The 26,337-nt window shown below is 41.3% G+C and overlaps 1 protein-coding gene across 2 annotated transcripts in view; it reads right to left on the bottom strand.

Moving 5' to 3' along the window:
• Nucleotides 1–3,724: 3,724 nt before the first annotated feature.
• The window catches only part of PGM5 (phosphoglucomutase 5), a 174,451-nt gene continuing 151,838 nt past the window's right edge, over nt 3,725–26,337 (bottom strand). For both annotated transcript variants that reach the window (NM_021965.4, XM_047423473.1), the window contains exon 11: nt 3,725–5,219. In NM_021965.4, coding sequence (NP_068800.2) covers nt 5,130–5,219 — 90 coding nt within the window. In that variant the 3' untranslated portion in view covers nt 3,725–5,129. The remainder of the gene's footprint in view (nt 5,220–26,337) is intronic.

Raw genomic sequence — 26,337 nt, 5'->3', positions numbered from 1 at the left:
ATATCTTGGCAATGTGAATCAGAGCAGTTTCCAGCGACTGCATATGTACTCTGAATCATGTGTCGAGAACAAGGGTAGGACACAAAGCAAATTCTACATTCGAGAGACCCAGCAATTAAAATCCACTGGACAAATCAGACAAAAATATCCGATTGTGGTTCATAATAATAATATAGTAGTCATCCCCTAGAGGATTCACTCAAGATAAATAGATACTGCCTCTGCTCTTCCTTCTGAAGCTTATAAAATTTACGGTCAAGGATTGGAAACAGCAATTCCATGAATGACAGGGAGAGCACATGCAGCATAAGAAAGTGAAAAGAGAAAAATCCCCACTACAAAGAGTCTTTGCTCATTCTCTTCTCTCACCTGTGGATGGTAGGTTCATATGTCAATGGGGAAGGGAAGTTCTCAGGGTTGAAGGCCCTCCAGTATTGTAATCTCATAATGTCCCTTTGAGCAGAAAGTTTGAGTAGGCCTTACCACCACTCCAGAAGGTGAGGATAAGGTCAGTTATCCTCAATTATAGATTAAGTTATACTGTGTCTTTTGCATATCTGAGATGTACTGTGTTCATTTTCGACCCTCCATGCAAAATCTTACCAGTGCTTTTACTGACACTCCTGTCTATCATTTAAGATTCTATTTAAATATACTGTCTTTGGTGAGGCATTGCTCTAGCTCACCTACATTGTAGGGCACATATTAGGTGCAGATAGGCATGGAAAGATGATAAAGACATGGACTTATAATCTATATCTTCTCCAAATTCTACAAGGTTCCATGACAACCTAGGCTGACTCACATACCAAGTGGGCTGTCAGCTGCATGAGCTATTTCTTCTAGTAAGGACTCCAGCTGGTTGGAGTGGAACAGGCATTCTGCTAAGCTCTGCTGCTTCGGATAATCTCTTGCTGTTTGTAACTGTCAAAGGGCCAAAGGCTGATTTACTGGCAGTTACGTTATTTCCAAAGGCACACCGTTTCTCAGACCCTTCTACACTCAGGGATGGGAAGCTCCTTAAGACATGTGTCTGGGATTTCAGTGTCCACATGTTTTGAGAGTATCCAGTGCATGATCCAGCAATGGAATGGAGTCACACAGTTATGTCATTACCAGCTCCTGCAGGTGCTTTTCAAATTCCCTACACCCATCTGAACGTCAAAGTAAATCCCATGCCTTACACTGATCCATGAGACCGTGCATCAAGCTTCGACTTCCTGTGCAGAAAGCCTGCATGCCACGTGCAAGCCCTTCCACCTATAACGTCATGCAACACGATTTGTCCCGCAAATACTGCGGATGTATGCTGCACTTAGATCAGTAAAAGTTGACAAACGATCTCATTTTAATAATGACTGCCTATCCATTTTCAAGGACATTGAATAAACTCAAGATTCCTGGGTGACACAAAACAAATTTTTGTTCTGGGGGACTGGCTGACACCTGGAAGGATATTTAGCGTGTTTGGTTTCCTACTACTGCCACTAAATGCCTCTCTGGCAAATACACACACATTTCCAAATACCCGCCCTGGTTGAAAACCAGCATGTGATGTATAGTGTTGCTTGCCATTTTTCTGCAGACACGTGCTGTAATGAGTGAACCCCTCTGTAACAGCAGATCACCAGAGTTGCCCTGGAAGTTGCCACACTCTATCCATAGTTTCCTCTGATTGACTCTTGCAGTTCCCATGAAATTTGGGGCCTTTAAAGTCATTTCCTGTTTTTTTTTTTTTTTTTTTTTTTTGAGACGGAGTCTCACATTGTCACCTTGGCTGGAGTGCAATGGCATGATCTCGGCTCACTGCCGTCTCCCGAGTTCACGCAATTCTCCTGCCTCAGCCTCCTGAGTAGCTGGGATTACAGGCACACACCACCACACTCAGTTAATTTTTTGTATTTTTAGTAGAGACAGAGTTTCACTATGTTGGCCAGACTGGTCTCAAACTCCTGACCTCGTGATCCGCCTGCCTCGGCCTCCCAAAGTGATGGGATTACAGGCACGAGCCACTGCGCCCGGTCAAGTCATTTACTCTCAAAGATCAGTGGCTACAGTGGCTACAGCTCTTTTTTTTTTTTTTTTTTTTTTTTAATAGAGTCTTGCTGTTGCCCATGCTGGAGTGCACACTGCTCCATTTTGGCTCACGGCAACCTCCACCTCCTAAGTTCAAGCTATTTGCCTGCCTCAGCCTCCTGGGTAGCTGGGATTACAAGCATGCACCACCACGTCTGGCTAATTTTTGTATTTTTGGTAGAGACAATGTTTCACTATGTTGGCCAGGCTGGTCTCAAACTCCTGACCTCAAGTGATCCACCCACCTGGGCCTTCCAAATTGCTGGGATAACAGGTGTAAGCCACTACGCCCAGCCTAGAGCTTCATCTTTAAGAACATAAAGAACATCATATGGGGAACAGTGACTTCCTGCCTCTCTCCTCTCCCGAGAATTAGGCAAGAGGATGTACACATATAGTTCGGCAAGAGAAGTTTGGATTTCAAGTAAGGCAGAAATAATATCTTGGCAATGTGAATCAGAGCAGGTTCCAGAGAATGACTGTGTCCTAGACCCACCAAAAGACCTTCCCTTGACAACATAGCTGAAAAAACTCTGTCAAAATAGGCAGCTATGTAGCTGCTTCTTCCGGTGGCTGGGCCCAAGGCTTTGCTCTGCCTGACATTCACAACCCTGTGCCTGCTTCAACCCCATGCATCCAAGCCAACTCCTCAGGAGACCCCAAGCAAGTCTCCTCTCCAGCCATCCTAACCCTCATCTCCTAGTCTGTCTTCTGACTTCACTCATCCTTGATGAAATTCTGTAAATGCTTACAAATCCCAAGCAACTCTACTCTTGTGGAAACCACTCTCGTGCCACCGTCTCTGAGTCTATTGCCCCTCTCTGTGTAGTCCCACAGCACATTATTTGTGTCTCTCATAACATTTTTGTCTAACTGATTATTTGTGTATGTTTGTCATAGCCTCCTACTCCCAAATTATAAACTTATAAGATCAGGAATAATGTTTTATCCATTTCTTTGCCCCATCTAAAACAGAACTCTGCCTAGAGGAGTTGCTCAACCAATGTCCACAGAATGAATGAATGAACACATAGATGGATGAATGGATGGACTGATGGCTAAATATATATTTGGGCTACTGTCCACGCATGACTCCATATCAAAATAAAGAAATATAATTTTTATGTAAGGACTAATTTACATATGAACTTACAAGTTAGAGATCATTAAAAGTTCAGCAACTTGAGAAAATAAATATTTTCTTACCTAGAGCTGATACACCTAAGAATACATCTGAGCGTCCCAACCAAGACATCCGTGATTAATGAACACATGGATGGCTAGCATAGATGTCCACTCTTGAGACAAGAACCTGAGAACCAAAGCTATGACATGAATTTGATTCCACTGGTGATCAATCTTGAAATGGTTTTGTTTTAGAATCTCAGCTCAAAGCCACCTTCCTATTATTTTGAAATGAAGACAGTTACAGTGGAGGTCTAGATGCCATTTCAGTTTCTGCTGACTCCCAAAGGCAGTTTTGAGTAACTTACCTTTTCTGTTCCATTTAATACATGTCTCTTGCCATAATAGTGAAAAACAGCCCTTGCAGGTTTTCTGAAAGGCAGATTTATCAGGATAGGTGACCAGTACTGGAGTTTCTCAACTGGTGAGACAAACAAATAAGTAAAAACCCACAATCCTTGGATAAGGTTGAAATTAGGAATTTCTTTTTTATTGGCCACTAAATGTCCTAGCAAGTTTCTGACAGAAGCACAGACAGAAAATGGAAACAAATACCTTACTGGGAATGTTTCCTTGCTTGCACTAACCTTGACTACAGCAATAACGCATTGCTTAACAGTCAAAGTGCACCAGGTCATTTCCGCAAATGGCAGGGTGAGTGACTGTGCCGTTCCCAAGGAAGCAAAACAGACACAAACAGGTCCCACGCGCTGGGTGTCCTGGCTGAGTACAGAGGAGGCTGCTAGACCGGCAGTACCCTTTTCCCAAGTGAGGAAAGCCAGCTGTGACACTCTGCTTGCCGGCAGGGGTCCCCACCCTCCCCTCCACCATCTGGCCCATAGCTGTACCACCAATTACATTTTCTTCCAGCTTCCACTTCATTTCCTACTTTTACAGCATTTCATCCTCTCCTTTTGCAGCCTTTACAAATAAGATCAGAAATGTGTCCAAACAAGTGCATTAAGATAGGCCCCTATTGGCCAAGTCAAAGAGCTCTCACACATGGTGGTCTTTTTGCCTTCTCAAGAGGAACTTGTATAAACCCATGTACCAACATACTTGATGTAATCAAGGAAGGATCCCCTCCAAATTTTAAGCATTTAATTGCAGAGTCTTGTCAAGAAACTTCTTCCCAACTTTACAACTGAATGGCTGAATTTGAAAGAAGGTATCCAGCTTAATAGCTAAAATAATACTATTTACAAAATAAGAGAGGAAAACACCTATTGATATATTTTGTTGGAAGTGCACCATTGTGATTTGTACAAAGCTTTAGAAGATGTGAGAGAAGGTGGTACAGGGATGTTGGGGATGGGATGGGGGAGGCAGGGCCATCGGGTGGGTGGCAGGAGTGAGGTGGGCTGTTGGGAGTTCTATAATAAAACCTTCCCCCATTGTAGACCTGACCTAGGATGAAAAGATAAACCCTCCTCCATGCTGGGAGTGTCTCCTTCTGCCTGCCCAGGGGCACCTGGGACTTAGGGTCAGTTTCATTCTGGCACTGTTCTCTCTTGTGATTTTAGAACATTTTCTCACTTGGCACAAGTGATGCACAAATGTTGTGATTAACAGCTGCCTAGCCCAGTTGTTGTCAAAAGGGGAGGTTCCTTTGTGTGATAAAATGTAGATACCAAATTATAGTGCAGCTTTAACAGACAACTAAAGGCCCTGCTGCATTTGGAGGAATAGGACAAAACCAAAACCAAATGGATTTTTTTTCTTTTCCCACCCACCCTCTATCCCCCAAAAGCAAAATATCTTTTGTTTTTCCAAAGTCATAAGAGGCACAAACAGGTAGCAAGAAGGCATCAGTGAAGCATCTCCCGCTGAGCACTCTCTTTGGCCCTGGTGAGTGATCTTTCCTCTATTCAGGTGATGACAGTGGGTCCCCTCCGGCCAGTTCTCTCATGAATCTGGGATATTTTCAGTGCGATGGCTATGAGAGGGCTCAGCACTGCCTGCAAAAGGAAAAGGAAAGTCTGTGAACAACTCAAGTCAGTTACATTTTGGGGCATTCTGATGGATTTCTACCATAAGCATCTGGACTCAGATTCCAATTCACTGTTTACAGGCAGTCTTCATGAGCAGGACATTTGCTTCCTCCTCCACCAATGGTAGTTGGAATGGGCAGGGCAGGAGAGTAGGGGGAGAAGGTGATCTCCAAAGTCTTAACCAGCTTCAAAAGAAATTTATCTATAATAGGAAAATGTACAACCCAACTACCAAACATGAGAGCACTGTATGAAGACAGCATTGTGAATTAAGGGAGTTCAGAAAAACTCCAGTCTTCTGCTGCTACACCCTCATCCTCACCACACACACACACACACACACACACACACACACACACACACACACACGAGAATAAAAGCTCATTCTTCATCCTAGGGCCATGGATTTAAAGAACCCACAATCCTGATGTTTCTGAAATGACAGACCAATTCATTGGCCAACGTTGCAGAAATGACTGATCATGCCTTCCCATTACGTAACACTGGGCTTATGAGGCACCTCAGTGGGTTTTCTGGAGGAGGTGGGCATGCTTTAGAAGCCTAAGGAATAGGTTCTTGGGAAGTTGAAGGACATGAGAAGGAGGAAGACTCATTTCTTTCTTATTGTTTCATGGGATTGAGGCATTGTTTTCCGAGGTGTGGAGCATGCAACACTCACAATGATTTTCAGTGGTGCATGGATATGGTATTGCTAATAAAACAGTGAGAAAATCAGTCTATTTTCCGTTCTTCAATCCTTCTGATTTCATCAAGGAGAAACTCTGTTTGCTGCCAATCTTTAACAATTTAACCAAGATAGTGCATGCCTCAGGAGTTACCCAGCTAGAATGTAATGTCACTGAATGTTTTTATTGAATTCATGTTCATGATGTGCTTATATTTATCAAGTGGTATTGTTTTTTCCATGTAGAGTACTTTTATAATAAATAAGTAGATTGAGGTAAAAACAAAGTGAGTCAATTTAAAGACAAATATTGGCCACGCGTGGTGGCTCATGCCTGTAATCCCAATATTTTGGAAGGCTGAGGCAGAGGATCACTTGAGCCAGGAGTTTAATACCAGCCTGAACAACATAGACCGCATCTCTACAAAAAATAAGAATTAGCTGAGTGCAGTGGTGTGTGCCTATAGTCCTAGCTACTCGGTAGGCTGAGATGGGAGGATGGCTTGAGCCCAGAAGTTCAAGGTTACAGTGAACTATGATTGCATAACTGCATTCCAACCTGGGTGACAAAGTGAGACCCTGCCTGTCTCTAAAAAGAAAAAATAAAAATAAAATAAAAAATAAAGACACCTATTAATATAGAGATACTGATAGAAAAGAAGTTTGGGTAATATTAGGATAATGGAAGAAACAAAAATTCTGTAATTCAGGAAAAGAAGGCTTGCATTTTGGGAGGGGGAGAGGAATTCAGTTCCTTGTGGGCCCTAACCTATTCCCATGCATAAAGGGAGTGCACACATTCCAATCCACACAACAGGAACACAAGGAAATGCACAAGGTACAAGACATCACAAGCAATCCATTGTGTCCTGAGTGGCATGTAGATACAGAAGAATCCTGAGAGATGTGAGCCAGTCTTGTTGGGAGGGACCTAAATGCTAGAGTGAGGTGTAAGGTTTTAATTCATTAGGCAAGGGGAGGCATTGAAGTGTTTTGGGCTGAAAGGTGACATCACAGCTGTGCTTTGGAAATATTGATCTGGCAGCAATTTATGGTTACATGTATTAAATTATCTTACTCTATGAAGATGGCTAGATGGACAAGCTCACATAGACTCCTGGAAGCTGGAAGAAAAATGAAAATCTAGAACACAAGAAAGTGGCACTTTCCTCCGGTTCCGTGTTGATCATCTTGATTCGTAAAAACAGAAGGGATTCTTTTCCTCTTAATAACCCTGTTGGTGCCCAGAAACATTTTACACTGGCACATTTTGCCAGGACATATCCCATGTGATGCCAAGATAGAGGGATCTCTATTCTTTAGGAGCAAAGTGCCCATTTTGTACAGAAATTCAATTATTAGTTTTTGCTCCTCTTCCTGTCTTCTCTTCCCTCTTTCCTGCTCCCCCTTTTTGGTTATGTAATTCTTCATTAACACCTATCAAAGAAGTTAAACTCAGACAGAAAAAGAGAGTGAAGTTAAACTCAATCACTTTAGCTGAGGTTTTAGAGGGTGAATAAAGATAAACATATACTATCCTATTATTTTAAGAAAATGCAATGAAAATGAATTTGAACCTTACGGAACTAAAGGATTAAAACATATTCAGTTTTACATCATTGTAAATTTCAAGATTTTTTGACTCCACATCTTTAAGTGGTGGTACCTATTGGCAAAAGGGCGGGGAAGCAAGTTTTAACAAATACTGTAAACACCAGAGAAGTTCTCTTTTCTGATCTCCACTTAACTCTACAAACTAACGCGTGCTTTCCACTTCTTCAGTAAAACATCCTGACTCACGTCCGTAGCTCACTAGATGTCCGTGACCAAAAGATCACTTTCTAATATGCTCACCTACTTCTCCCTTCAGCAGTTGAGTTCTGTGTTTATCAGGAGTCAGTTAAGTTTGTTCCCAATATGTTAATGCCTATTGTACTAATTATTGAGACTATGCAATTTAATTATATGTAAACCAATGAAACGTGAATGCAAATAAGAAGACTTTTTTTCTATGAAAATTAAGTTGAGTGTTTTGGAAAGAACAGATAATGGTGATTAGCTAATCCTGTCAAATTAGATGTGGGTGAGATACTACAAAATATTAGGGAGAAATTTTAAAATTATAGAAGAATTATTTTTTCAGGTTGCTTCACAATTGTCCTTAAGTTCCCGCTGTAATATAAAGGAATCAAAGACAGATATTATAGATGATGAATTATGAGTGGGAATCTTTTGAAGAAAGAGGATCACAATGGCAAACAGTATGCTCATATTAAAGAACAGGTCTTGGGCCAAAATCAAAATACTGGCAAATGCATGTACATTTATATGTTTTATGATACAAATGTAATAGGATATCTATGTGTATAGTGGACCTACTTAACTCTGTTTCTGGATTCATCAACCAAGCACTTGTCCCTTCTTCTGTTCATGTCAGAGAAGAGGGCTTCCGTGGTGCTTATGCAAGCTGAAGGGAAGAAAATGCCACATGAGGAAACTCCTAAATATGAGGACTCCCATCCTGAGCCAAGAGCCTGGGCTAATCCGGCACAGATGCCATGGAGTCATCTGCCTTCCGGGAAATATGAGTGTTTGGGAAGAAGACCACCTCACTGATGTTCAGTCTTTTCAGCCATTTTCCAGGAACCACAGAACTTCTTTAGATTTTGTATGACCCCAGGAAGGCCTGGGAAGAAGTCCCTAAAAATACCCAAGATTGAATTTTTTGCCAGCTTTCTGGAAAGGAAACTTCAAGTTAAGCTCCTTTTTTTTCTTTCTTTCTTTTTTTTTTTTGAGAAGGAGTCTCACTCTGTCGCCCAGGCTGGAGTGCAGTGGCGCGATCTTGGCTCACTGCAAGCTCCGCCTCCCGGGTTCACGCCATTCTCCTGTCTCAGCCTCCTGAGTAGCTGGGACTACAGGTGCCTGCCACCATGCTCGGATAATTTTTTGTATTTTTAGTAGAGATGAGGTTTCACAGTGTTAGCCAGGACGGTCTTGATCTCCTGACCTCGTGATTTGCCCGCCTCGGCCTCCCAAAGTGCTGGGATAATAGGCGTGAGCCACCACGCCCGGCAAGCTCCCATTTTTAAGGCTAATAAACTAATATATTTTTTCTTCCCTGAGTGTATAAATTAAACAGTCATGTATCACTTAATGATGGGGATACATTCTGAGAAATGCATCGTTAGGCAATTTCATCCTTGTGCAAACATTATAGAGTGTACTTACACAAACCTAGATGGTATATATCTTTTTATTTATATATTGTTTTTCATATGGGAAACCAAATGTCCCAGCACCATCACTAAATATCAATCATTTCCCCTAGTTGATTCGCAACATCAATATCAAGTGCCATGTAGCAGGTTTCTATACATGCTCCATTCCAATCCTATGGGGCCACCATGGAATATGTGGTCTGTTGTTGACAGAGATATCACTACGCCGTGCATGACAGTATATATGTGCTAGAATGAGTGGCCACATGATGAGGGCAGAAACTTTGTCTTATTCAGGGCTAAGGAAAGTATCTACTGCTTAGGAGATACTCAATACATCTTTGTGGAGTAAATGAATGATATATTTGATGAAAAGATGATAAGGCAAATAGAGACTCCTGTGGGCATTCCTGGAGGACATTGTGTGCATGTGGGAGGGTCAACAGTGCCGGGTTTTTACTCATGTTTTTCTTTAGAAATCACTCCTCTGATACACGTAAACCCCAAACTCTTCTCTCATGTCATCGACCATGCCTCATGGTGGGTGGGAGTTAATTTTCCTGGGGCAATTGGAGAGGCAGTTGGAATGAGGAGCAAAAAGAGGGGTTATGAACTGTGGATGTGAGTTTTCTAACATGGAGCTGGAAGCACAGAATTTCAAAAGCAGAGAGGAATGTGGATTGGTGTCATTTGATTTCTTCATGGCACAGATGAAGACACTAAAGCCCAGTGCGACACAGGATTGACCCACGGTCACACATCTGTTTGGTGGCTGAGCTGGGATAAGAACATACAGTGGGCTCCTCTACTGCATTTTCCATCATACAGTTCTGCATATAAGATCTGAGAGTGACAAGGATAAAGAGAGAAAGACAAAATGCACTGAATGGGGAGGAGCAGGGAAATCATGGGATTGCAACCCTATTGGACCAGATGAGTCCCACATCAGATGAGGAGTTGGGTAGGACTGACCAGTCTTCCTCCCTGACCAAAACCAGGCAGACAGTGGGAGAAGAGGTGTTCTCAGTTATGTGGGTTATGTGAATGTCCTGGAAACTCCAAAATAACCCTTTGTGAATAAAGGAAATAAATTAATGGAGACTTTAATCAATTATGTTAGAGTATAGCATTGTTTTTTCTAATTCCAGTGTTTTTTAGAGTGCCTAACATATTTCTTCTACAGTCAACAGTAGGAAGCAGTGAACGCTTATCTTGCTCCAAACCAAGCAGGCCTTGCATCCTTTCAAGATGGCATCTTCTGCCACCTTGCAGGGTTTTCTGGATGTTTGCTGTCCATTAATGTAGACAGGCTACAGGGGGTATTGGATCCTCTCTCTATTTAAAGTTTTGACACTATGTTTATCATGAATTTTTTGGACATTGATTTTGATTTTTTAAAAATTGCACTACGATATTTATCTTGATTACTGAGTATTTTGGCATCCACACCCACTTAAATTTTGCACCCAGTTAACCTCACATTAATCCTAGCCCACATAAATCCTAGATTAGGTTTTAACTTGTCCATACTCCCTGGAAAGACAGAGTTTCTCTTTTTACTTTCTCTCCCATCTTCTCTTTTGCTTTATGTCATTGTTATAATCCACTTTCATGTAAATTAGATCCATTAAAAAAAAAACAACCCTAACAAACTGAACTTCTTACTCTGGGACAAGCAATAGACAGGAAGGATGTAAATGATCTGAATGTCACAAGACTCAAAGTAAATAGTTAACTGATTTTTCGGAGGAAAACAATACCCTAACCAGAATCATAATCACTTATCAAGCAAGATTTGTCAGAATCTGTGGAGGGAACCTAGTGCTGGGCTGGTCTCTATGAGGAATGTGCATTTGTACAGTCGGGGAAGGATTGGAGCCATGGGTGGAGAGTGAATAGGTGTGGATGACGATAATTACCATAGTTCATCTTTCGGGGCAGGCAATACAAACCAGAAATGCAGGTAGGTCATCCAACAACAGAAAACACTGACATTCTGGCATCCATAAAATAGAGATTTATAACAAATGCTACTTTCTCCTGATCCCTAGGATCAACTAACAACACTCCCACTTTGTTTAAAACCTGCTAAACCTGAATGCCAGGCTTTCTCTCCAGATTTCATGCAAACATTCATTTTTAGTCAATATGCTTTTGCATAGTCTAAGGGAGTGGTTCTTGAACTTGAACATGCACCAGTATCCCCTGGTGGGTCTGTTAAAGTGGAGACTGCAGCACCCCTCATCCTGAGTGTCTGATTCAAGGGGTCTGGGTTGGGGCCCAAGAACTGACATTTCCAACAGCTTCCCAGGATGCTGTTGGTCCAGGAGCCACACTCTGAGGACCACTGCTCTAAGGTACTCTAATTATTGTGCCTGTCAAATGCTTTGCTCCAGCCCAAACCCAGGCTGCATTGTTTGCATCACATGATCCCACTCCCTGGCTGCAGCTGATTGGACCAGAAGTGGCTGTCTGACCTACAGGCAGCCAATAGAGAGGCTGGCTAGCAACCTACAATAGAGCCTGGGGCAAAAACTTCACCTAGCCTAGCAGATTATTTGCCTCGGGGATTTGAACTGTAAGTAATGAAAGAACGGACAGTTAGTAGTGGGAACTAAATCACGAGGTTATAATTAATTAACCATGAGGGCATAAGACTCCATGGTAATCCTGGATTATGAGAAAGCAGAGACTCTGAGAAAGGTGACAAAAAATTATAAGAAAGCAGGGTGAAACCAGGAGAAGAATTAAAGAGAGCAGAAGGAAATAATAAAGGAGTTGGTAGAGAGAAAACAATGGCATGACTCCCAATTATCTCTAAAGATCCATTACCTCCCAATAGGAAGGCCTGAGGTGGTAACCATACTCCAGGTCTAGTCTCTGAGATTTGGACATGTGACAGACCCTACTCTTGACTTTCTTGAGCTAACTTTGGTCTCTTTGCGTATTAAAATCAAAAATTTTAAGCAAATTAAAATAAAATCACAATTAATAAGATAAACACTCAAAATGTGTTTCTCTTAGATTGTTTGGAGGTACCATCATGGTCCAGTATTCTACCACCAACAAACCCAAAATATGAAATGTAACATCTTGCAAACCAAAATTAACTTCCTCGCTACGCCAGTCCATGGTTCCACCTTCTCTTTCCTGCTAGGAGCAGGTCCCTCTGAACTCTCAATCTGCTCAGCTGGAAGTACTTGTTGGTGGGTCCTTCTCCCTTTCCTGTACATCCAAGCAGTTGCCAAACCCTCTGATTCTATTTCTCCCCATCTACTTCCTCATTCTCATCCCCATTGTTTCCTTAACACACTGCCCCACCATCCGGAGCTTGCGTGAGTCTGCTATCTGTTCTCAGTTTCATCAGAGAGAGCTTCTTTTTACAAGAGACTTGTTCATGTGAGCCCCTGATATAAAAGGCTCAGATGGCTCACTGCAACTTTTGCCTCTTGGGTTCAAGCAATTCTACTGCCCCAGCCTCCTGAGTAGCTGGGATTACAGGTGCACACCACCACACCCACCTAATTTTTGTATTTTTAGTAAAGACAGGATTTCTCCATGTGGGCCAGGCCGGCCTTGAACTCCAGACCTCAGGTGATCCACCTGTCTTGGCCTCCCAAAGTGCTGGGATTACAGGTGTGAGCCACTGTGCCAGGCCCGATATTCTTATTCAAATGTGAGCTCTAATTGGCTCCATGCCCTGTGTGGATGGAGAAGGGGAGAGAGCAAGAGCACTGGCCGCTGTCTGTAGGAGCAGCTGAGAGGCTTTAGGCACAATCTCTGAGCCCTTTCACTGTGCTGCTGAATACTACAAACCTACCTGCAAGAGTTGTCAGTTTAAATTGTTAGGACTGTTTCCCTGGCCATGGTTTCCCTGTTCCTCTCTTCTTTCTTTCTATCCACCTCTCCCCTCACCTTCTGCCACCAAAACATTGTAAAAGGATGGGGAATTACTAATTGGTTCAGATCCCCATCCCTCCCAAATGTCCCTCACATGTCTTCACATTTCTCTTCATTGGGTATATCCACACTAGGCTTCCAGGTTTCTTTCACATGGAATACACTTGCTAGGTCAAAGGGAAATTAGGATCTCCTCTGCCTTTACCAAATGGTTAGCAGAAATAAAACTTCAAGATTGAAACCGAGGTTAAAAAAACAAAAGGACCTTTGCCTCTCCAGTTTGTTACTCAAAGGACTCTCTCCATTCTCCATTTTCCTCCTTTTCCTCCCTTTCTTCTCCAAAAGACTTCGGAAGCCACGATCAGTGTTCTCAGTCCTCACTGCCATTTTATATACTTTGTGCCTTGGATTCTAAGTTTTGATTCTTTAGTAATTTTGTAATAGCTGGCACTGAGTACCCAAAATGTGCCAAGTGCTATTCCAAATTCATGTATTGAATTAATCTCTAAACAGTCTATGAGGTAGGTGGTATTATTCTCATTTTACAGATGAGGAAACTGAGGCTTGGACTCATTACATAACTTGTGCAGTCACATGGCAATCAAGTGGCAAAGCTGAGCTCTGAACCTACTCAGTACTGTGATTTTTAACCTCAAAGCTAGGCTGTATCTCACTATCTAGACTGCCCTTATACTGAGGGAAAAGTTTTCATTTTCTGAAAGTTTATAAATATATTTGTCTTAATGCCAAAAGTTTCCCTGTTTCTAGGCACACTATTTGAAAATTACCTTTTTAAGGATTATTAAATATAACAATCACAGGGAAATGCAAACAATTTAACATACTCTAATTATATGTAAAACTGATGCTTGTCCTTCTGAAGACAAAGCCTATTTGAGTTCTAAATGAACCCATCAAGTCGTTCTCCCTTGTTAGCATACTGTCAGCACATATAGCCTACGTCCAGGTTTTTTCTTTAGCAATACCGTTTTATGATATTAAAGGACTTCCCTTTGATTCCTATTCACAGAATTTTTATCATGAAGAGATGATACATTTTATCAAAAGCTTTTTTTGTGTCAATTTTGTTTTCATTTTCGAATTCAGTTGCCCTTATAATACTCTGTATTCTTTCATTCCTCAGCATATAGGTAATTTTTATACGTGTCCCCTGTGGCATGAAAAGAATTTACACGTTGAGTTGATGTTGCGTGGTGTAATATCTATATGTGCCTATTAAGTCAGGTGTGTTAACTAAGTTGTTTAAATATTCTATGTTCTTTACTAATTGTATACTTATTCTAATAATTACTGAGAGGGGTGCTAAAATACTCAAGGGCAACTGTGGATTTATTTTCTTCTTACATTTTCATCTCTCTCTCCCTCTTTTTTTTTTCTTTATAAATTTAAAACTACTGTGTCTTCCTGGGGGATTTAACTCTTTTATCAGTTTGAAGAGTCTCTCTTTATCTTTAGCAATGCTTTTGACCTTAAAGTCTATTTTATCTGAAATAATAGAGCTAGTTTTAGGTTATCATTTGTATATCTTTTTCCGTCTTTTAACTTTCAAATTTTCTGTATTTTTATGTATAAAAGATGTATTTTTTATAACGAGCTTATAGTTGTCTTTTTTTTTTTTTTGAGACAGGGTCTCACTCTGTCACTCAAGCTGGAGCGCAGTGGTATGATCATGGCTGACTGCATCATCAATTTCCCAGGCTTGAGCAATCCTCTCACCTCAGCCTCCCAATTAGCTAGGACTACAAGTGCACACCATCACACCTGGCTAATTTTATTTATTTATTTATTTATTTATTTATTTATTTATTTATTGTAAAGACAAGGTCTCCTTATGTTGCCCAGGCTGGTCTCAAACTCCCAGGCTTAAGCAATCCTACCACCTTGGCCTCTGAAAGTGCTGGGATTACAGGTATGAATCACCATTACATTGTCTTTTTCCTACAGCAGTTAGTTCACTTATATTTAAAGTAATAACCAGTAAATTCAAGTTTAAATCCACCACCTTATGTGCTTTTTACTTGACCTAGCTGTTTTTCTTTTTTTTTTTAATTTTTTTTTATTATACTTTAAGTTTTAGGGTACATGTGCACATTGTGCAGGTTAGTTACATATGTATACATGGATGAAATTGACCTAGCTGTTTTTCTTTCTCAATTTTTTAAAGTTCCTATGTTTTCCTCTCTTAAGAAGTTATGTAATTTCCTTCTATTTTTTTTAATCGTTACCTAGAAACTACAACATGAATCCTTGACCTATCAAAGTCTAGTATTTATCTATACCTTTATTTTCTTCCAATATATTCAAGGATCTTACCTTAACTACAATTATGCTCATGGTGTTTAGTTACTGTGGTTGTATAATTTAATTCTCCATATTAATTAATATACATATTTCAGCAATTATTAATATTTTATACAGCCAATGTTCATTTATACCAACTCCTATTTTTAACATTTCTTTTATTCCTTGCTGCATTTTATTCCAAATATCTATCTGGGATAATTTTCCTTCTTCCTGAAGAATATCCTTGAGAATTTCTTTTTGTGTAGATACTCTCTCAGCTTTTGTTTATCTGAAGATGTGTTTATTTCGCTTTCATTTTAGAAGGAAAGTTTCACTAGATTAAGAGTTCTAAGCCATCAGTCTCCTTATTTTTAGTGTTGATAAAGAAAAATTAGTTGTCAATCAAACTATTCTTTGCCTTTGATTTTCTGCAATTTTAGCCTGATGTGTCTAGATGTGAATTTATTTTTATATATCCTGCTTGGCTTTCTAGAATCAGTGGGCTGACCTCCTTCATTGGTTCTGGGAAATCTTCACCTATCATTTTTTCCAGTGTTGCCTATACCCAAGTTTCTGTCTCCTCTTTTGAGACTCCAACTAAATTATGTTAGCACTTCTCACTGTATCCTTTGTGTCTCTTACCCTCTATTCTGTATTTTTCCGAATATGATCTTTCATCTTCCAAAGGCAGCAATCTTATATTCTTTGTTCTGCAAATCATAAGGACTAAACTGAAAAATCAGATGCATAGTTTCTTCTGAAATATTTTAAGTTCACTGATATTCTTCAGCTGCTGTTAAATCCATTTATGTTCTTAATTTTGGTTATCTTTCTCAGCTCTTTAATTTCAACATCTTGGTGTATTTTTATAGTTTTCAGTTATTTGCTGATGTTTTTACATTCAGTGCTTTATTTCCATGAACATAGTGAAAATAACTATTTTACAGTGTGTATTGAATAAATTCCAGTATCTATAGATCTTTTTCTGTGGTATGTTGTTTCTGTTGATTCTGGTATGTGTTGCTTTGTGTATCCAAGTGCTTTATAATCTTTTATTGTTTGGTGCCCATTTTGTTTGAAAAATTGCTTATAGAAATAACTGGAGACCTAGAATATTGTTAGTTTCCTTCATTTCCTTTCATGAGACTCCTCAGGGAGCCAGAAGATCAGAGCCATGGATTTATAATCCTCTGGAGTACAGTCTGTATACCACCTTTGGAATGGTCTTCTTCAAGTTTACACCCTAGAGCAGGGATTGTTAAGCCAGGATCTCTGCCTTTGATGTGTACTTAACTAACCATATTTCTTTTGGCCACACGAAAATGCCACACAGGTCTGCCTCTTTGCTGCCTCTTTGGTTAGTCTCCTGGTTAGCAGAGGCAGACTGTAATAGACCAGATCCTCCTCCACCTGGACCTGATGCCGGTCACCTTTACCCTGTGCCAGTCATCAAAAGCACCTCTTCTTTAGTACCTCTCCTAGATGGACAAATTCCCTAGGACAGAAAGAGCTTTGGCTCATTTTCCTGAGTGCCAACCCTTTTCCTGTTCTTGTTACTGTTTTATTAGGTCATTGGTCAACCATGCTTTTAATAAGATGCTTTAATATATTTCTTTCAGCTCTTTACAGAGGGAAGGTTAGTTTGAATCACCTAGTCCACCACTACTAAAAGTTAGAAGTCCTTCATATGGGATTTGTGTTGTTTTGTAATCATTTTCCTGCCAATATTTAAAAATCAAATTTCATTTGAAAGTCCAGATATCTTGCTCCTTTTAAAATCAGAAAACCTGGCAACCTTGAGCTCACATATTAACAATGCAATAATTAAAGACAGCTGAGCATCACCAGAGTGCCCACCATGCTCTATTGTCTTAAATTGGCCCCAATCTAGGACTTACTGCCTGTGTTGGTGGGTGACTGAATTTGCTACCACTGAACAAGCAATAGTACACTAGAGGCAGTGAAATAATTTTAATATTAATAAGTATAAATTTTACCTGGATAGTTACATATCCAGGAATCTGGGGCATTCTAATTTAAATTTTCTCTTTTTCTGAAATAGAGATTTTTGTATTATGAGGGCCTTGAAGACTACTGCGGAGGGCTGGCAGATTTGCGTAAGAGCCCAGCAACCATTTGGGGAGTAAAGGTACTGCAGTCCTCCCCGTCCCCTATTATGCCTATGCCCTGAGATGCAAACTCTCAGCATGGACTCAACTGCTCATGACTACAACACAGAACTAGGCTAGGCGCAGTGGCTCAGGCCTGTAATCCCAGCATTTTGGTAGGCCGAGGCGGGCAGATCACCTGAAGTCGGGAATTTGAGGCCAGTCTGACCAATATGGAGAAACCCCGTCTCTATTTAAAAAAAAAAAAAAAGACAAAAAATTAGCCGGGCGTGGTGGTGCATGCCTGTAGTCCCGGCTTCTCAGGAAGCTGAGGCAGGAGAATTGTTTGAACCCAGGAGGCGGAGGTTGCAGTGAGCCGAGACCGCGCCATTGCACTCCAGCCTGGGCAACAAGAGCGAAACTCTGTCTCAAAACAAAAAACAAAAAACAAAACAAAACAAAAAAACAGAACTATATAAACATGAAATCCAGGAACTGTCTCCACTCAACCCAGCCCTCCTAGGAGCACACTAGAGCTGGCAAAGCAGCTGTGTGGTGGACGTCACAAAGCAAAGAGGCTGAGACCCCAGGCCCACTTTGGCAAGGAGAACTCCTGGCTGAGTGGAGTCCTGAGAGTGTGTGCTCTTCCCCCTCCCATGTTGAGGGACTGCCAAGGCCCAGGCAGGGACCTCAGTGGCCAGATGGTGGAGGCCCACCCCACTACCTCCTCTCAGGCCCACCCATGGTGAGGTTCACCCCAGGTGGTGATGCTGCTTCTCCGGGAGAAGAGTTCACAGTCTCTCTGTACTTCGCCTAACTGCCACCCCACAGCCTACTTGAGGTAACCAGTTACAAGCAGCACAGTGGCATTCTCCAGCTTCCAGAGGGTACAGCCTTCTAAGAAAGGGCTAGCCCTTGGGAAAGGATCTGAGGACATAAAAGGGAATAGGAGGACTGAAAGAGAGACCACACCTTCTACTAGTCTGGAATTGTGGGGCTTGAGGACTGCCTCTAGAACATTCCTAGAGGATGGATTGAGGTGTGTTAACTATGCCAGATTGAAGATGGGAATGCTGGTCTACTCCAATTTACTTTTTATAGGTGGGTGAGCACCCCCATATTTTTTGATGGCACATAATAAGGACCTTAGTTAAGGTCTTGGGCTCTGAGGCCCAAATCTAGGTTCAAATACCAGGGACACTGTTTAGAAACAGTAGATTGTTCAAATTCTCAGGGCCAAAGTTTTCTTATTTGTAAAACATGGATGGATAGCATGACTACCTATAGCATTGGATTGTGGTGAGAATGAGATATAACACACACAAAACACATAGCATTCTGCCTAGCCCCCATACGGGGCAAGCACTTGATACTATTGTTATTATTATTATTACCATTATCATCATCATTGAAGACAGAAGCCTGACTTGCTATTAATAGAAAAGTAGGCTACAGGTGAGTGGACCAGCATACCAGTCCCAATAAGCTGACCTTTGGTAGATAGTCAACAACCCTTCTAGCTTAAGTTTATTTGCCCATAAAATAAAGTTCATGTTATCTTTTTGATAAAAGATAAAATAAAAAGAGATTAAGAATGTTGGGGTGTTCCCAGCTCTTGGAGTGAGAAAGCCACTCAAATCAGAGGCAACATCTCTCTGTGTCAGCAAGAGGGTCAGTGACACACCCAGTGGGGGAAAGCTTGCCTGCATTTCTGTTTGTGTGCAACAGGCCCTATATATCCAGCCAGAGAGAGTACAATCAGATTGCAGTTGCGTAAGGTGATGTTGACAACAGAAGGAACAGACATCATAGCTTTTGGAACACATTCCTTAAGGGTGTATCAGATTCTAAAGAAGTTAGCAAGGACTTCCACATTGAGCAAAGCTGAGTGGCAGAGTTGAGTAGCAGAAGCAAACTAGAAGAGAACTTCTGCCGTGAGGGCCACCTGAGTCTTACGGAGGAGGCAGTAGTGGGACAGTCATTAACACCAGGCACTAAAAACATGGAAATGAGCCCTGTAAACGAGGAGAGACTCTTCCCCACAATAGAAAGACTATTAGTGAAATTAATGGATGGTTAATGCACACTTTATGAATGCAGTTTGGACAAAGGAACATGTTCTTTTATGGCCTTTGCCTTTAGACTCAGCTGCCATTTAACCTAACATATTTAAAGTGTTTTAAATAATTGACCTTTTCCTAGTAATTGAAGTGTGCTAGACTGTCTACCCACAATTTTAGCAAGGCTTTGTGCCTTGGCAAAATCAAATTAGAACTTTCTTTACCTCATCCACTGTTATTTTGAATCTCTCAGCTCAACTAGTATAATTGTGTGAAGAAAACTGTCTAACACTGCTGAGTTGATATTGAGAAAGGGTTTCTATGGAGATGCAACTTGAAACTGATTTTCTTGTTTCTTTTTTTGTTAATTGACCTGAGAAGCAGGAACAAGTCTTCAAGGATCTTGGCACATTTGTCTGGGTTATTTTCTGCATGCTTTATGATTTTCCTAAATGAGGAAGAAATAGAGGCCAGGCACCCCTATAAATGCATCCTATTTAGTTTGGCATTAGAGGGTTTGTCTGGTGTGGAGACAATGTCAGTCCTGCTAAGCAGAGGTGGAAATAAGGATCCCAAAGGTCATCCATCACAGGACTTCTTGCCCTTTTTTCCCTCCAGTTTTGTTGTTGTTGTTGTTTGTTTGCTTGTTTTTTTGAGATGGAGTCTCACTCTGTCACACAAGCTGGAGTGCAGTGGTGCAATCTTGGTTCACCACAACCTCCACCGCCTCCCAGGTTCAAGCGATTCTCCTGCCTCAGCCTCCTGAGTAGCTGGGATTACAGGCACCTGCCACCATGCCCAGCCAATTTTTATATTTTTAGTAGAGAAGGGGTTTCACCATGTTGGCCAGGCTGGTCTCGAACTCCTGACCTCAGGTGATTCACCCGTCTCAGCCTCCCAAAGTGCTGGGATTGGAGGTTTAAGCCAGTACAGCCAGCATCAGTTTTCTTTTTTTAGAGATAGGGCCTCCTTAAGTTGCCCATGCTGGTCTTCAACTCCTAAGCACAAGGGATCCTCCCCACCTCAGCCTCCTGAGTAGATGGCACTTTATAGGCTAATGCCACCACGCCCAGCATTAGGACTTCTCAAACTTTAATGTGCACATGAATCACCTGAGGAGCTTGTTAAAATACAGAATCTGAGTCAGTAGATCTGGGTTGGGGCCCGAGATTCTGCATTTCTAAGTAGCAACCAGGTGATGTTGATGCTGCTAGTCCAAGAACTACCTTTAGTGTAGCAAAAGTATAAAGCGCTGTTAAAAACAGTGTAAAAGTACTTTCTTTTAAGCTTTTTATCAAATCTTATCCATTAAAAGGAAAGTGAATTCATAATGACTGCAAATTCTGAAAAACATGGGCTGATATGAGTCAGAGCCAGCGGCTTGATTCAACAATATAGAAACACTTACATGGTCAAAGACAGTCTAAAATGTATAACTGGGAAATCTCAGTATATCATCAAAGTATCTTAGCTTTTGTTAAACACCACACTGACTGTCCTGACTGTAATTCCCAAGAATATAATTAAAAGCAAAGAAAGAAAGAATAAAAACAACAGAATTGCTACTTCCTAGGGAAATGGGGTGAGGTTCCTTGGAGACTGGGTTTGAGGATCACTGTTAATGTGACTGAAATGCACTAGAACCTTGTTATCAGCTCCCGGAAGCCCCATTCACAGGGACATGCAATGTCACAGCACTCCCTGGCTTGGGGTCACTACTGAATGTCACGTGTTTGCTTCCCTTTCTTTGTAAGAATTCACCAGGGCTCATATTCATACTTTTCTTTTTTCATCCCATTTATTTCTTAACGTTTTTCCCTTTTCTTCTGACATAGTGCTGCTCTTCTGAAAATCATGTGTAAGCAATTGCTTTAAAAAGAAAAATGAAGAACCCTTCTGACAAGAAACAAAAGACCTGAAAAAGGAATTTGATTTCATGAATACAAACATAATCATTTCCCTTTCATGTTTGGTTGCAATCAAAAGCTATGGAGTTCAACCTCAGAAGCCTCATGCTGGAGATTTCCAGAGAGATTTGATATTTTTTTCCCTAAAACTTCACAATTCATCTATGTATACAAATATACACAAATACAAATGTAATTTTGAAATTTATAGTGTGTATGGTTTACCCAAACTCATGTTGATACATGCTGTACTGAATGTAATCAGAAATTGTAAATAACGTGTCATATTCAGAAACCTATAAGGCAAGGATCAACAAATTATAGGCCTTAGGCCAAACCCTGGCCACCACCTGGTTTTGGTGCAGCCATAAAAATGGTTTTTATGTTTAATGGTTGGGAAAAAAATAAGATTTTGTGACATGTTAAAATTATCTTAAGTCAATTACAGTGCCTATAGTTTTATTGGAATATAGCTTCACTAATTCATTTATGTATTACCTGTGGCGGCTTTTGTGCAACAGTGGCAGTTGAGAAGTTGTAACACAGACCATACGACTAATATTATGGGTTGAATTTGTCTTCCATAAGTGCATACGTTGAGGTCCTAATTGCCAATACCTCAGAATGTGACATTATTTTAAGACGGGGCCTTTACAGAGGTACTCATGTTAAAATGAGATCATTAGGGTGAGGTCTAATCCAATATGACTGGTGTCCTTATTAAAAGGGGAAATTTGGACCCAGAGACACACAAGAAGGAAGATGATAATGAAGAGATACAGGGAAAAGACAGCCATCTATGAGCCAAAAAGAGAGGCATGGAACAGATCAACAGATCCTTCCCTCACAGCCCTCAGAGGGAACCAGCTCTGTCAACACACTCATCTCAGACTTCTAACCTCCAGAATAAGAAACAAGTTCTTGCTTTGTAAGCCACCCAGTTTGTGGTACTTTGTTATATCAGCCCTAGCAAACTAATACAGCTAGCAAAGCCTAAACTATTTACTCTCTGGGCCTATTCAGAAAAAACTTGACTCCTGCTCCAAGGGACCAGTTTTTCTGTTTAATCCCTTGAAGCCAGAGAGCACATGCCTCCTGGCTAGTCAAAGAAACTTCAGGCATCCTTTCTTCAATGAACCTGCCTTTCATCACACACCCACTCCAGTGTTCAAGCCCTTTCTCTCTGGTAAAAGAGCTTGGAACAACCAACAGATTGCACATTATTTGGATGAAATGAAATCATTGAACAACCCCTACTCACTACCTCTTACTCCAAGCCAGGAGGGCAGTGAATTTGTTCCATGAATGGAGAGACAAGTAGAGAAACTCCACTTCATCCTTGAACCTTCTGACAAAGCATGGTACATCTAAAATGCCATGTCATGAGAGCCCTGGGAGCTCTCAGAGAAGACCTAGGTTTTTAGAAGCTGTCAGTTCTCTTGGGACATTTCTCATAGATCCAGTTTGGTCTCTGAGATGTTAATGGGAGGGAAAAGGACAAGTCAATTGCATTATAAAACAAATTGCTAAGTAATCTGGGAATCTTTTATCCTCATGTGATAAGAAAATGAGTCAATACCATTATTAATAAAAATAATGGTGGTGAAACCCCTTCTCTACTAAAAATACAAAAATTAGCCAGGCATGGTGACGCATGCCTGTAGTCCCAGCTGCTCAGGAAGCTGAGGCAGGAGAATTGCTTGAACCTGGGAGGTGGAGGTTGCAGTGAGCTGAGATTGCACCACTGCACTCCAGCCTGGTGACAGAGTGAGACTCCATCTAAAAAAAAAAAAAAAAAAAAAAAAAGGCAAAAACAATAACATTAGTGACAATCAACATTTATTGAACATTTATTCACATGTCAGGTATAAACCAAAAATATAATTCTAAGCCCCAAACTGACTGAATGGACATCTCCTCCCTGCCCCTAATCATTGGCCAAAAGGATCCCGAAAACTAGTTCAGGCCATAACAGGAAAAGGGCGTAGCATATGCCTCAATATATCCTCCTCTCTGGAGCTTAGCTGTTGACATTTAGAGATTCTAGGACTGACAGAACAGACTCTTTGTAGCAGTAAGATACCAAATTCCAACCTGACCCTGATATAGCATCAGATGACAGATAACAGGCACTGAAGGAAATCAAAGCATCTTACCCCAAAATATATTTCTTTGACGTAATTTGGAATGGCTCTACAAAGCCATCTTTTGTGGGGGAAATCGGCCTTCTGTAGAGAATCCCCTTCCCTTGCTAGATCTTCTCTGGAGAGTCTGACACCTTTTGAGGTCTAATAAGAGACATTTACCTTCTATTCTCTCTGAAGCCTGCTACTTAGAGGCTTCATCCACATAACAAGAACCTCAGCTTCCACAACTTTCTTTATCTTAACTCAAGCATTTGTTTATACTGACTTTACCTCTTCAGACAAAGCTTAGATTTTTCAACCAATTGCCAATCAGAAAATCTTTGAATCCACCTATGACCTGGAAGCCTCCCCTTCTTTGACATGTCCTGTTTTTCTGGGCCAGGCCAATATATACTTTACATGTGTTGCTTGTGTCTTTGCCTGTAACTTTTATCTTCCTAAAATGTATAAAACCAAGTGTAACCCAACCACCTTGGGCACATGTTCTCAGGACCTCCTGAGGCTGTGTCACAGGCCATGACCTTTAACCTGGCAAAGTAAACCTCTAAAACGATTGAGACTCATCTTGGTCATTTTCTTTGATTTACACAGGCATTGTACAAAACTCTTTACATATATGAATTATCTGATTTAATCATTACAACAATATAAAATAAGAAGTATATCTATCTCAATTTGACTGATATTAAGTTGCCCAAGATCACAAAACTGGAAAATGGCAGAACTAGGACTCAAAACAAAAATAACTGATTTCGGCCAGGCACGGTGGCTCAAGCCTGTAATCCCAGCACTTTGGGAGGCTGAGGTGGGCGGATCACGAGGTCAGGAGATCGAGACCATCCTGACTAACATGGTGAAAGCCCATCTCTACTAAAAATACAAAAATTTAGCCGGGCGTGGTGGCGGGTGCGTGTAGTCCCAGCTACTTGGGAGGCTGAGGCAGGAGAAGGGCGTGAACCCAGGAGGCGGAGCTTGCAGTGAGCTGAGATTGCGCCACTGCACTCCAGCCTGAGTGACAGAGCGAGGCTCTGTCTCAAAAAAAAAAAAAAAAAAAAAAATGCTGATTTCAAAGCCCAACCTTTGTATCAGAGGCCATCCAGCTTTGATGGTATGTGAAAAAAACAAAATCTTGTTGGGGTGCTCCCTAACAATTTTACCCACCTGAGAAAGTGACAGTGGTTTTATCTTTTCCTCTGGCTGTTAAGCTGGTGTTTTTATTCTAATGCTTTGACATCTTGGGGCCTGGCTGACTCTGGAAGGTTTTGTTCTTCCCAGGGTTAGCTAATTCTTAGAGACAGCAAACAACACACCCTGGAGCTTGCCTTTCAGATGCAAACCAAACACTTCCTTTCTCAGACCCTCACAGGGCTCTCACACTTGGGCCACTATTTCTCTGCCCTAACCACCCCAAGGCTAGGTACCAGCAAATTAGGGACAGTCCCTGTGCCCCAGAGCCTGCTGAAATTATTCAAACAAGCTAATCCTAAACCTTCTCATCATGCTTTACCTTACCTTTCCCAGAGAATCTCCAAAAAGGCTTCACCCACATTTTCCCTTTGCTCATGCTGCCTCCTGTCCGACGCTGGCGCTTCCCTGCGTGGCCCTGTGTGGCGTGTTGGGTCCCCTCCTCTTGGGAACTGTGAGTAACAAACTATCTCTTCAATGGCCGTCATCTCATCATCTGTTGGCCTCCCCATACCTGAATAATAATGAAGTCTACATTTCAAGCCACTCTGTCAGCCTCATCTACCTTCCATCTCATATCATGATGGTATAGTACACAGGCCCAACCTGCCAAAGTATGTCCCAAGTGATGATTTGTACCAACAAAAATGCTCAAAAGTAAAACCAAAAACACAAACACGATACCAGAATTGTATAAACCTTTAACAGCTTTCCCTCCTGCCCAAGGCCTAAGCATTCTGGCTTTGAGATGCTCCTCCCTGGAGTTTGTCAGGCCTGCCAGCGTTCCTGGGAGTCAAAAACAAGGGATGGGAAACTCCCTCACCTGCATCTTGAACAGGAGTTCTCGTTCTGGGATTAGGGCATCAAACTTAAATTCAGCCAAGAGTAGACGGGAGAGCAAAAACAGCCACATTCTCCCCTTAACAGCTCAGATCCTGTATTCCCCATGTGAATGAAGCATGACCGTGTTGGGAAGCCCAGGAAAAGCTGCTTCCAGATGCTGGCTAATTGCACACACTAGTCCAGAGCTTCCTTCTGAAGGCCACAGGCAACCTCCAGGTTCACTGTCAGTCCCCATTTGTTAAGATACACTCTTGTTTATTATATAAGCAAAGCAAATTATTTACTGTACACCAAGGAAGGACACCACTTCAAAGAAAACCTGAATCACCACCAGTTCATGAGACCTGGGTAGCTTTCTCCTGAAAGGCACGGAAATGTGGTTGTGCTGTGCATCTGGGCTAGAACAAAAAGGCTGCTGGGAAAGGCAGATTGTGCTGGACACAGCTTGTCAAACCCATCCATCTGGCAAGAGAAGTGATGACCAGTGACCTCTGGACTTGTGTGACCGCTGCAAATTCATTCATGCTCCTTTTTCAGGCTGAGTAAACAAGATCCAGCAAGACTTGGTGATTTGTGGATATAAACATCACTGGGTTAACCAATAGCTGGTTAAGCATGTGCTTTAGACATGGTAAAACTGGCACCAAAACAAAAGATATTTTGGTAAGAAGTTGATATTTAATATTTTAGAAATTAGAATAGCATTATAAGGAAAAAAATCAAAACAT

Source organism: Homo sapiens, chromosome 9 (genome assembly GCF_000001405.40).
Source record: "Homo sapiens chromosome 9, GRCh38.p14 Primary Assembly".
In the NCBI taxonomy this organism is placed as follows: Eukaryota; Metazoa; Chordata; class Mammalia; order Primates; family Hominidae; genus Homo; species Homo sapiens.
Note: the sequence above shows the minus strand (reverse complement) of the source record. Positions and strands in the feature narration are given on the sequence as shown.